At 41.3% G+C, this 12,603-nt stretch overlaps 1 protein-coding gene across 5 annotated transcripts in view; it reads right to left on the reverse strand.

The window, feature by feature from the left end:
- The window catches only part of LNX1 (ligand of numb-protein X 1), a 193,177-nt gene that overhangs the window by 64,518 nt on the left and 116,056 nt on the right, over window positions 1-12,603 (reverse strand). The window lies entirely within an intron of this gene.

The following is a 12,603-nucleotide window of genomic DNA, read 5'->3' on the forward strand; positions in this document are numbered from 1 at the left end:
AAATACTCAATGAAGCCTCCATTCACACTGTCCCACCATCCTCCTGCTTCCCCTGGCAGTGATAGAGGATTTGGTTATTTATAGTCATGGAATAAGTTGATTAGGATACTGAGAACTTACATTCAGAAGACATCTTTCTTTTCTGTTCACTTAATTATAGTCTGGCTGGTCAGCCTAGTCTTAAATTGACCATCAATTTGATGACATAAAACTTACATTTTAGATAAGGGTCTTTGTTCTTCTGGAAAACCAGGAGATTTGGTTCATTGTTCTCTTACTGTTAATAGTATTAATATGTTTCGAGGAGATATGGTTTGATAAGAAATAGTCCTACGGTTTAAATTATATATATATTTTTTCTCTTCTAAAATTATAGTGAAAGCTTTCACTAGACCTTGATGGCACTATGGTCATTATCTTGTCAAAACTGTGGTGGATTTGAAGAGCTAGTGATGAAGAATGGAGGTTTCCTGTCCTAGAAATAACCAAAGGCCCAGGCTTGGAGGTGGCAGAAAAAGTGGCACTTAAGGTAACAAATGTTTGTTGAGACCTGTACTACCATTTCACACATAGCATCTATCACTTTTAATACTCGCCTCCAAATCTGAGGACCAAGGTGGTACTCTCTCCATTTGACAGATAAGAAAATAGATTGAAAGAAGCTAAGTCACACACCCAAGTTCACGCAGCAAGAAGGCCCAGATGATTTTTCTTAAACTTTATTCAATTCTAACACAACCAGTAAAATGACAGATCAAGAAATGAAAAACAGGTCTGTAATGCTTTAAGCCTACGCTCTTTCTAGAACCACTCAATATTGTCTCCAGGGCTGACTCAATTCCTAGAAAGTGAATTGGGCTTCTGAAGAGACTACAAGTAAGGTTTAGGGGAAATAAACATAGTTGAGCCATTTGGGTCCTGCACAAAGATGCCCAGCTGAGGAATTGAAGGAACTGAGGAATTTAACATCCAGCTACTGCTCTGCTTTCCAAGAGGCATGCTAGCAGGAGATGCATCTGTCAAGAGGAAGGAACCCTTTCTTTGCAAAAAAAGCTCTGTCTGCTTGCCCAAAGGGGTGTTTTCTTCTGATTTCACATGATCTGGGGGTGCTTTCTTCTAATGTACACAAGATCTTAGACTTCCCCTTGTGGAGGGAGTCTTAGAGCGTAAAGATGGGGATTTGTGGTTGATTTGGAAGCTTTCAGAAAGCTCTGTGTATTGGACAAACAGTAGTGGTCTACATTGGATAGCCTTTTACAACCACAGGGCCTCACGTGTATCATGCTCCTCTTTCACTCTCATTTACAACTCCCCAAACTACTCATGGTGGGCTATAATCCCCTTTCGTTACACATTAAAAAAAATTAACTAAAAGCTCTGGCCAGGCTGGGAGCAGTGGCTCACACACATCCCAGCACCTTGGGAGGGTGAGGAGGGCGGATCATTTGAGGTCAGGAGTTTGAGACCAGCCTGGCCAACAAGGTGAAACCTGGACTCTACTGAAAATACAGAAGTTAGCTGAGTGTGGTGGTGCATGCCTGTAATCCCAGCTACTTGGGAGGTTGAGGCAGGAGAATCGCTTGAACCTGGGAAATGAAGGTTACAGTGACAAGATCACACTACTTCACTGCAGAGTGGGTGACAGCATTCTGTGTGTATCTAGCTAACCAAACAGCTCAAAGATGCTTGGTTTCCTGCCTGGAATTCCAGCTCTATTTTGACCTCAGCAGAGCTTAGAAATATTTCTGTGCCTCAGTCGAAGTTCACTGGCCATCATCCCCCATAAAGAGAGAACTGTCAGGCCAGTGGATGAAAACATTAATTGCAAAAACCACAATTACTTTTGCACCAACCTAGTAACTTGAGGGTTCAAAACTGCTTACAGGCAGCCTCAGTTAGGGGAGGTTCTTCTTGGATCAATGCTATGGTAGGCAATCCTGTTAATCTGTGGCCAAAACAGTATCTCCCTTTCAGGGAGGGCACTCTGAAGGCCAGGAAAGGGCTGTGTTGGGGTTGGTGTGGGGAGGCACTGGCAAGCTAGGCTGGGCTGGTTAAGATAATGAAATTCTTTGTGAGGTCAGTCACATCTTTAGGAAATACCATCCTATAATTTAATAAAATGGGCAAAGAGGTAATTTGCAAATTGGACTCTGCAAATTTCTAGTATCTAATTACTATTTAATCAATAACTTGTTTATTGACATTCAATTTTTTAAAATGCAAGCCATTGTGTGAAAGACTTTGCTTAAAGGAAAAGCATTACAGTATGTTTTGGGCACTTTCTAGAAAAGAAAAAATATTAAAAAAAGATAACATACGCCACGTTCAGCAGGAAACCTCTTCCAATCAACAGTGATATGAACAAACAAAACCCCATCACTGGACACGGCACACTGCTCCCTGAACACATTCCTGTGTCCATCCTCATGTTGATATCAGAAATTCAATTTGAGGAGCTTATGAATGTTGATGTAAAATGATGAGTACTGGTTATTAGTGAGACACAACAGCTACTTCTGAATCGTTTTCATAATCTTGAATTCTCATGTCTGAATTACCAACTGATCAAACCACCAAACCCTGGCACAAAATGGGGAAACCAACAAATGCAACTTAGTATCAGAATGCCTACTTTTTGGAAGAAATTTTAAAGCCCAATGAAAACCCTTGGCCAAGCAGCTGGTAAAGATAAAGTAAGAACTAAGGCACAGCTTTTCACAATAACAGTGATGAGAGGCTTTTCCTTCCAGACCCCTGTGCTACTCTGGAAGTAAATAGCCCCTATCTCAATGCCTTTCCATGTAATCTAGTATCTGCTTGAAATTCTCTTTTTTCTGCTCAACAATACCCTATTCCATCTTTCTGCCTTCACAACCCAGCTTAAAGGCATCTTTTAAGAGCCTTTCCTTCAGGCTCATGGTAAAATTACTCTCTTTTCTCTTGAACTTTTGTAACCTCTGGAACTTATCAGTTGTGAATTCCTTCGACCTCTTCTGTTATATTGTGAGGACCTTAATGGTTGAAACTCTGTCTTAAAATCTTTGAATCTCCAGCAGCTGGCTCCACAGAAGGCTCACGATGTTTATAAAATTATAGAGCTAATTCTTCTTTGTAAGAGACACAATCATTATGCTAAAGCAATAGAAATGAAACACCTAAATGAAGGGTGAGGAATACATAAGAGGCTAAATATATGCTGGATCTAATAAGGTTTTAGACTCTTCCCTGCCCCTAAAAAAAAAAAAAAAAAAAAACTAGAAGAACAAAACCTGACCCAAGCTTGTGTGTATAAACATTAGTTACAACTGAAATATACTATTGGGAACTAAAATATTCAGTTTTCTGTTCTCAGCACCAACATCAGTTTCTTCAATTCACATTTATAAACATATGAATTTCAATGAACAGATATTGTTTTATTTCTACATGTTCAGTGAACTAGCAGATTCAAGGTGTAAGCTATTTTTCTAAGACAAGGATTATTTATTCAGTATAACTGACTTTCTTCTATTTTAGGAATTTATATACTTAGATGTAGAGCACTTTCATAATGTGGTGTGATGCTCCCTATATGATGGCTTCAAAATCCTTCTGAGAGTGAGTTTGCATGAATTCCCCCACACCCATAATTAGTCTCTACGAGCCTGGTGCTGACTCCTGGTGCTGACTCTGTTATTAACAAAAGTTCTTAGCCCCAGGGCACTCCTTGGCTCCACTGGTTCTGGAGGGCAGGCTCCAGCCTCCTTTCAAACACTGCATTCATGCATAGGAAATGCTTTGACTCTTCTGTACATTTCCAGTGTCTCTCTTTACATTCTTCAGCATTGTCACCTTTGCTCAGCAAAAGCCTGAACTTTGCACCCTCACTGGATTGGTGGTAAAGCTCATACTCACACATCCAAATTACAGGGTGGAGAGTGCAACAGTGAGCCTCAGCAGGGGAAAAGGGGCTACCAGGGCTGTCAGCTACTGGACTTCGTGAGGACAATGACTTTATGAAAGTTGCCTCCTCCCTGACAGATTCAGTATCTTCTCCAACAAATAAGGGAAGAATTACAGGGATTCTAGTTCCATTACAAAGGCAAAATGCCACCAGCAATTAGGTGATGTTTATGGTCTAATAAAGTTTACTTTTTCTTCATTCACCCACAAACTAATATTTTTGAGCTTACTATGTGCCAGGTTAATATCTTCTAAGTTTATTTAATACTCAGAATTCAGGATTGCCCATGTTTAAGTGTTTTCCAGTCTGTCTCCTAAAATTCTTTGTAATAACACGTGCAGGTTGTTGCCTAATCCTTTGTGTCCGCTCAGCGTATTTTCCCTTTGAAAACTGCTCTTTTGCCAGTTGGAAGAACTGTCAATCAATCATTGGGGGTCATCCAGAGATGACAGCCAAAATATTTAAGAAATACATAGTCCTCCCTTATCCATAGTTTTGCTTTCCGCAGTTTCAGTTACCTGTGGTCAACTGCAGCTTCAAACTATTAAGTAGAAAATTCCAGAAACAATTCATAAGTTACAGTTCAATAGTAGCCATATGCTATGTCACAATGCTATGTCATAGCTATGTCATTCACTTCACTTCATCTCATGTGGGCATTTTATCACCTCATATTATCACATGTAGAAGGATGAGTACTGTACAATAAGACATTTTGAGATAGACCACGTATGCACAATTATTACAATATATTGCTATAATTATTGTATAGCATTGTTAATCTCTTCCTGTGCCTAATTTATTAATTTAGCTTTATCACAGTTACGTACATGTAGGAGAAAACAGTGTATACAGGGTTCAATACTATGGTGGTTTCAGGTATCCACTGAGGGTCTTAGAACACATTCCCTGTGGATAAGGGGGGGACTACTGTATAGCCTAGACAGCAACTAGTGAGAACAGATAATTGACCAAAGCTGGCCTAAACAAACTGGGTAAGTTTACCTACCCTGGCACCATCTCCCTGGAAGGTGGGGACTAGCTGGGAGAAGCATGTGATCAAACCTAGCCAATCAGGACATCCATAGCCAAAGGTATTGGCTCTGGGATGGACATGTGACTCAAACATCAGCTCAATCAGAGTTGAGACCACACATGTCTGGTTGGTGGGAAGAGGCTACCCATAAAAAAAAGCCATCACAGAGGAAAGCAGAATAGCCCAATACAGAGAGAATGCATATTGATGTAGTTCCAAGATACAGGGGTGTCTGGAGTTTTCAGTTCATGAACCATTCTGGTCTTGCTGGCTTATTGGCAATTACAGCTTAAGAGTCCTGACCAACACACACACACACACACACACACACACACACAAACACATGCACACACAGAAAACAACACGAGAAAACTTAGAAAACCAAAACTTAGGCACTGAACTGACACAATCTAGGAGATAAGGGCACTGGAGCTGGAGCTGGACTGAGAAACACAATAGCTACCTTCCCCCAGGCATTAACTTCAGAGACAGGAGGACAGAATCTGCCTGGGAGCAGGCAGTGGGGACGGCAGCATAGTTGAGGAGACAAGGTACTTCTAATTTTCCCTAGTCCAGAGAACTAGAGGCCATTGCAACAGAAAAACTGGGTAACGTGGGTGCTGATTTTTAAGGCAACCAAGCTACTGCTTTACATTCACATATTTCTACATTCACATAAGACTGCGATGCCTTGGAAATGAGAACAAAAGTCTAGAAGAGAAGGGACATTGGTGGCACATTTCATCCTGGAAGAAACAGTCCACCCAGTAAAACATGAAGCTCTGTTGGCAGGGACAGATGCAGGGAGACCCTGGGAACAGAGCAAGCACGGCATCTGACAGCTCCATGTACATTGTGAGCTCCCAGAGTGTGAGAGAGTCAGGAGGAGGTGTACAAGCTACCACCATAGTAGGACAGAGCCACATTGGAAAGAACTTATTACACAGTGCAGGTAAGGCTGGGCTGAACTTACTCAGCATCTGTGGGCCAGAGACAGCATTTGCCTGGTTCCTAAATGCATGACAATCAGAGCCACAGGAAATGAACATACACCATCCAAGGGCAAACACAGTTCTCAAAAAGCTTCTCTATTCCAAGACATGTACAGAGAACACATTAACATGGGGCCTGCGGACAAAAATGCTACAGAGACTAGAAAAAATGTAGGCGAATACTTTTCAGACCTCAATATGGAAAAAAAACTTTCACACTTTCTACCATTTAAAGAAATAGAAGTTTGATATGTTTTATCAAGTAAAAATTAAATACTTTCTCCATCAAAAAGTGTTCTAAAGCTATTACAATTATGTAAAAATGTTTGCCTTCACCCACAGGCCTAGCAAATAATAGTTGTGTTAGAGCAATTTGGTTATAGAGTTGTGCTCTCTACTTTCCCAAACATTCGTTAAGATTATTTTTAAGTAACGTTTTAAAATATACAGAAAGAATCGTAAGTAAAAAAGCCTAATGATAATAGAAAAAATATTGCAAGATATGTAATCAAAGATTGTATTTAACATATAAAAGGTATACAAAAGTCACCCAAAAAAGCCACCAAAAATGACTAATATTGAAGAAATGTATATGGGAAATTAAACATAAGAAAATTGTTTATCCTCATTTATAATTAAAGAAGTGCAACATTATACTTAAAGAATACTGAGATTATATTTTCATGTATCAAATCAGCGATGATAACATCCATTGCATATAAAGATCTTCAGTGAAACACTTCATAAAAGCTGATAGTAGGAGTATAAACTTTTTAGAAAGCAATTTAGCATATGTATCAAGTATTTTTAAAATCTCTTACTTTGAATCAGTAATTTTACATCTAAGAATTCAGAGTAAAAAAAGTAGTATTATTTAGGATAGTGAAAACTTAAGTATGTATCTAAGTAAATGTCCCTATGTCTAGGGGATAGTTTCATTGACTATGGCATGCCAAAGACAAGACTATGCAGCCAGTTAAAACTATAATTTTTGTTTAAGTATTTCAGGGTCAAATTACATAGTGTCTAGAATTTGCTTTAAAATGCTCCAGAAAAAAGGAGGGGGTACAGGGAATTAAAATTGTAAAATGAGGCCAGGCATAGTGACTCACACCTGTAATCCCAGCACCCTGGGAGGCTTAGGCAGGAGGTATTGCTTGAGCTCAGGGGTTTGAGACCAGCCTGGCCAACATGGTAAAACCCCGACTCCACAAAAAATACAAAAAATTAGCCGGTGTGGTGGTGTGTGCCTATGGTCTCAGCTACTCAGGAGGCTGAGGTGGGAGGATGGCTTGAGCCTGGGGAGGCAGAGGTTTCAGTGAGCCAAATACACACACAGACACACTGCTTTAGTCTCATACTTTCTTGCTTCCAGTAAGTTAAACTCAGCTGAGAGGTTTCCCCCACCCCACTACTTTGTCTAGCAGGAAGTGCTGTGGACATGAGGTGGGGAAAGAACACTTTATGGTCAACAGAATTCTGTGATTAGCAGAAAACTGGGTCAGAAAAGAAAAGGCCACCTGTTCTTTTCCTGCACCAGCTCACTTCATTCTCTTAAGTAAATCACTTTATTTTCCAGAGCCACAGTCCTCTCATCTATAAAGTGAAATGCTTGGATTGGACAATCTCTAAGACCCCTAATAATCTTGAAATTCGATGGCTCAGCCATTATCCATCTCATTCTATACACACAGCTCCCTGGATGAGACACACGGAAATAGACAGTAGTTGGGACAATATTTAGTTTTCAAAATGTTTTTGGTATAAATGATTTTAGCTTGAAACTAGTTTTAAGTTCTTCCTGCTCTGATGCTTCTCCACCATGTAAACATATAAGCCTGGGGTGAATGTAAAGGGAGGTGGATGAACTCATAATCGTGTAAACTGTGAACAGGATTAAACGTGAGACTGAAATGCCCCACATTTGTAATATGTTTGAACCAAGCTGCTGGTAAGCCACAATTTCTGCACTTCATTTTTCTTGACATCAGATCATAATTGCTGCTCAGAGTTCTAAGAGAGATCTTAGGACAAGTTCTTCCAGGCTCGGGTGTTGTTGCTCTTTGTTCTATCACAACAACATCCTGGCAATATATTTATTTCTCTCTCTAGAGGAATGTTTAGGGAACAGACACAGTGAGTCCTCTTTGAGGACTGGAAACCACTTGCTACTTCAGTTGTTCTTTTTGCTAGAAATGAGTTAACAGGCTCTGGTGCAGCTGTAAGAAATATACAAGACAAAAGCTGACACCCCAAGCATCTATTCAGTCTTGCAATGAGAAACAAGGATGACGTTATTTCTAAATACAACTATGCAATGGCTTAAGTTCTTAAGAAAGGGATGGACCAAGGACACAAATACTATCACAATATATTGAGTGTTCCCTTCAAGAAAGCAGCAGGTGGCTAGGCACGGTGGCTCATGCCTATAATCCCAGCACTTGGGGGTGCTGAGGCAGGCAGATCACCTGAGGTCAGGAGTTCAAGACAAGCTTGGTCAACATGGTGAAACCCCATCTCTACTAAAAATACAAAAATTAGCCGGGCGTGTTGGCACGCACTGTAGCCCCGGCTACTCGGGAGGCTGAGGCAGGAGAATCACTTGAATCTGGGAGGCAGAGGTTGTAGTGAGCCGAGATAGACTCCATCTCAAATAAATAAATAAATAAATATATGAATAAATAAAATAAAAAAAAGAAAGTACCTGGTGACACAAAACCGTCAGCTGCAAAATGTTTGCTTTCCATAAAGACCCTGCAAAAGGCCATTCCCTCTTGAATGGAGCAGCTCATCCACAGCACTGCATTTTGATAGTCCCCATAGGAAATTCTCCTCATGCCAGTTGGAAAATAACATTCCCTATGTGACCATTTGGAGAGGAAGTTCCAACCACAGGAGACAGACTAAACAGAATTCCTGAGAGCATTCAAATCATTCTGCTAGAAACAAAGATATCAGACCATACTTTGCTAGTGCTCAGCTCCTGTGGGGCAGCAGGGCGATGGGTTTCTGCTAAAGGCTGCCTCACCTGAGGGTGAATTCAGGTTCACCCTTCCCTCAAGGAACACTGCAGGCTGCCCAGGAAGTTGCTGCCAGCATCATCTGTTCCAAATATTTCCTCCTCTGGGAGCCTGCTAGGCTGATGCTCTGTCCTCATTTGGGTCCAAAGATCCCGTCAGGGGAGCCCATATATTGTTTTCCTGGGGTTACACAACAGCACAGACATTACCTCCAAAAGGACCCTGTTATTAAGCACATATGCTCCCTAGGTGCAGAGAAAGGGCCACATATCAACACATGGCATAATTGTGTTTATTTGGTTAATTAATTGCCTTCTGGACAGCACAGTGGGCCTGGCCTGAGACTAACTGAGCTTTACCTTTTAAGACTGCAGTAAATCCTCCAGACAGCCATGGAAGCAGGGGCTGAGGCACACGGAGACTTGCAAATGAAGAGAGGTCCAATAGAACATACAAAGGAACCAGATTTGCCCGAGGAGCTTGGTAAAAATAGAATCCTGGGCCCCATTCTCCCTTTAGCAATTAGAATCCCTAAGACAGTCATTCTTAATCAGGGGCAATTTTATCCCAAAGAGACATCTGACAATATCTGGAGACTTTTTTATTTGAGGTGGCGTCTCCCTCTGTCGCCCAGGCTGGAGTGCAGCGGTGCGTTCTCAGCTCACCGCAACTTTTGCCTCCCAGGTTCAAGCAATTCTCCTTCCTCAGCCTCCTGAGTAGCTGGGACTACAGGCACATGCCATCACACCTGGCTAATTTTTGTATTTTTTGGTAGGGATGAGGTTTCACTGTGTTGATCAGACTGGTCTCAAACTCCTGTCCTCGAGTGATCCGCCCGCCTCGGCCTCCCAAAGTGCTGGGATTACAGGCATGAAACACTGTACCCAGCCTGGAGACATTTTTGATTGCCACGATTTGGGAGGGTGCTCCTGGCATGTAGGGGGTAGAGGACAGGGATACTGCTAAACATCCTACAATGCCCAGGACAGCCCCCACAACCAAGAATTATCTGGTCCAAAATGTCAGTAGTGCTAGGGATGACTACTTGATGTGAGAGGGGTGCCAAGCATCTGTGTTGTTGACAAACTCTCCAGGCTATTCCAGTGCACGCTAAGGTTTGAGAACTTCTGCCCATGCACTGGCAGCCAACTGACACATCAAGGTGCCAGGGCAGTGAGGGTGGGCAGAGGTAGATGAGAGTGGACACACCAAAAGCATGAGCACTGACAGTCACAGCCTACTTTACGAGTGTATCCAAGTAAGACTTGTGGAAGACTTTCATAATAGGACCTATCAGAAAGGGATGGTTCTCAGGAGAAGCCTAGGGCCCAGTTACCCCATGGAGAAGGGGGCAGGGCAGGCTGAACAAGTGCACCTCAGAAATATCAACCTCATTGTTAATTATTCCACCATTGCCTTCACGGCTTTGTTGGTTTGGCTCTTAAAGGGTCTCTGTGAATCCTCTTCTCAAGGGCATATGTTTCTGGGTAGGGGCCCATCTTCAACCCTGAATGTCATAAATTGATATAAGGAGAGCAGGAATTAGTGGTGGGGTGCAGTGGCTCACACCTATAATCCCAACACTTTGGAAGGCTGAGGCAGGAGGGTCTCGAGCCTAGGAGATCCAGAGCAGCCTGGGCAACATAGCAAGACCTTGTCTCTAAAAAGAAAAAATAAGAAAAAATTAGCCAAGCATTGAGGACATGCTTGTAGGCCCAGCTATTCAGAAGGCTGAGGTGGGAGGATCACTTAAACCCAGGAGTTTGGGGTTGCAAAGAGCTATGGTCACACCACTGTACTCTAGTCTGGGTAACAGAGCAACACCCTGTCTCTAAAAAAACATAATAATTCTAGGCCCTGTATTTTGGTCACTTGGCGTAAAACAACCTATTTGTCTTTGGGGGAGGATGTAAATATTTTCACAAGAAATATCTCAACTGTCTTCTGTACTCAAGAGAGTACCAAATCAAGAGTCAATGATTTGTGCTCTTTCTCATTTCTATTCAGCCATATACATTGTCCAGACTGCTATGTCTGGGGACCTTGGCATCCTTGCCCATAGTAATGGTTGACCTGTCTTAACAGCCTTGTTGTAAAAATCGTTGAGTGAGGACCTGTAAAACAATTACAACAGAAAGAAATGATTGCTCATGGGTACAAAGAAACCAGTAGTGTTAACCTGTTGAGATGAAAATGTTTTTCTATTAAGTCATGAAGCTGATGGGAGATGTTTGTCATTTTGCAGGGAATAATTATGAATCCTCCTTGCTATAAGGAAAGAGAGGAGAAATAGCACCAATGTTTTCTCTCTGCATCATAAAGGTTTAGACTTTTTTAAGGAACACAAAGGATGTAATCAAAGTCGTATGAGACTCACCAATATTGCTGTTTCCATTACAAACTAAGTCTGTTTAATTAGGTTATGTAGACCCCATAAACCATGGAGACCAGGCTTTGTTGTTTTGGATGCTTAAGCCATGACTCTTTTAGTCCTTTTTGCAAATTTTACCGTAGTCATTATCTTTCTCCTTGAAATGTTATTATTTCCATGACACAAAACATACATTTTGATGTTGTCACAAATGAAATCTCTCCCGTCCATCAAGAATAGCAAACTTTATTTCACTCTGCTTACCTGCAAGGGTACATGACAAATCAATCTAACAAAACAAATTGGCTCATTATGTTGTAATGAAGTTGAACATAAATTATTTTTTATGGCTAGATTTTATCATTCTATTTTGTTAGTGAATACTTTAAAACTCTGCATTAATGTCCTCAGAGGTAAATGTTACTATCAATTATAAAAATCATTGCAATTCATTGATACAGATGTGAATAAGATGTGGAAGGATGAGAGCCAGGGAAATGAGTTGAGTTTCTTGGCTCTATAGCCAGCGCCTTACATATGCCATGTACTTCCTAGTCTATTCCCTGCCTTTATGCCATCTCTCTTTCACTTCCTCATTCATAGTAATTCAATAGATGAATTACTTCTCATTCATCTGTTGGCACAGTTCATGAGCATGTCGGGCTGGGACTAACTGTATGTCTACATTTGATATGACCCCTGATAACTGTTGACAAAAGCACCATCACACCCATTTTACCGATGGGGAAGCTCAAATACCAAAGGATTGGACTTAGTCAAGGTCAGTACTTCCGAGAGGTATTCAGGGACCACACTGATAGAAGCCTTGTGGGTTAATTACTTGACCCTGCCCCCAAGTCCTCCTACCTGTTTTTAATAAGCATTTTACAGTACCCTGTAGCTGCTTTGCCATTGTTTTGTTCATTATTCCATGTAACAAGGTTGCCTGGTTTTCCTTACATAAGCAGGAAGAACTGGGTAGACACTAAAACCATTTCTACATAAACACAATGCTCTCCATCTGTGAATACACTTCCCATATTCTCAGGTCAGTCTCTTAGTGGAAATCCCATGGGAAATACCTAACAATTTCTTCCAGTGCCCAAAGCCACCTACCTCGCAGTGCGAATGAACAGATTCTCACTCCACATCTTCAAGAGGGGACTTTTACACAAACGCCACACACAGTCAAAGTCGTTCCCTAAGGAACTCTTACAAAAATGGTCCCAGTAAAATATCTA

The sequence above is a fragment of the Homo sapiens genome, chromosome 4, assembly GCF_000001405.40.
Source record: "Homo sapiens chromosome 4, GRCh38.p14 Primary Assembly".
NCBI lineage: Eukaryota > Metazoa > Chordata > Mammalia > Primates > Hominidae > Homo > Homo sapiens.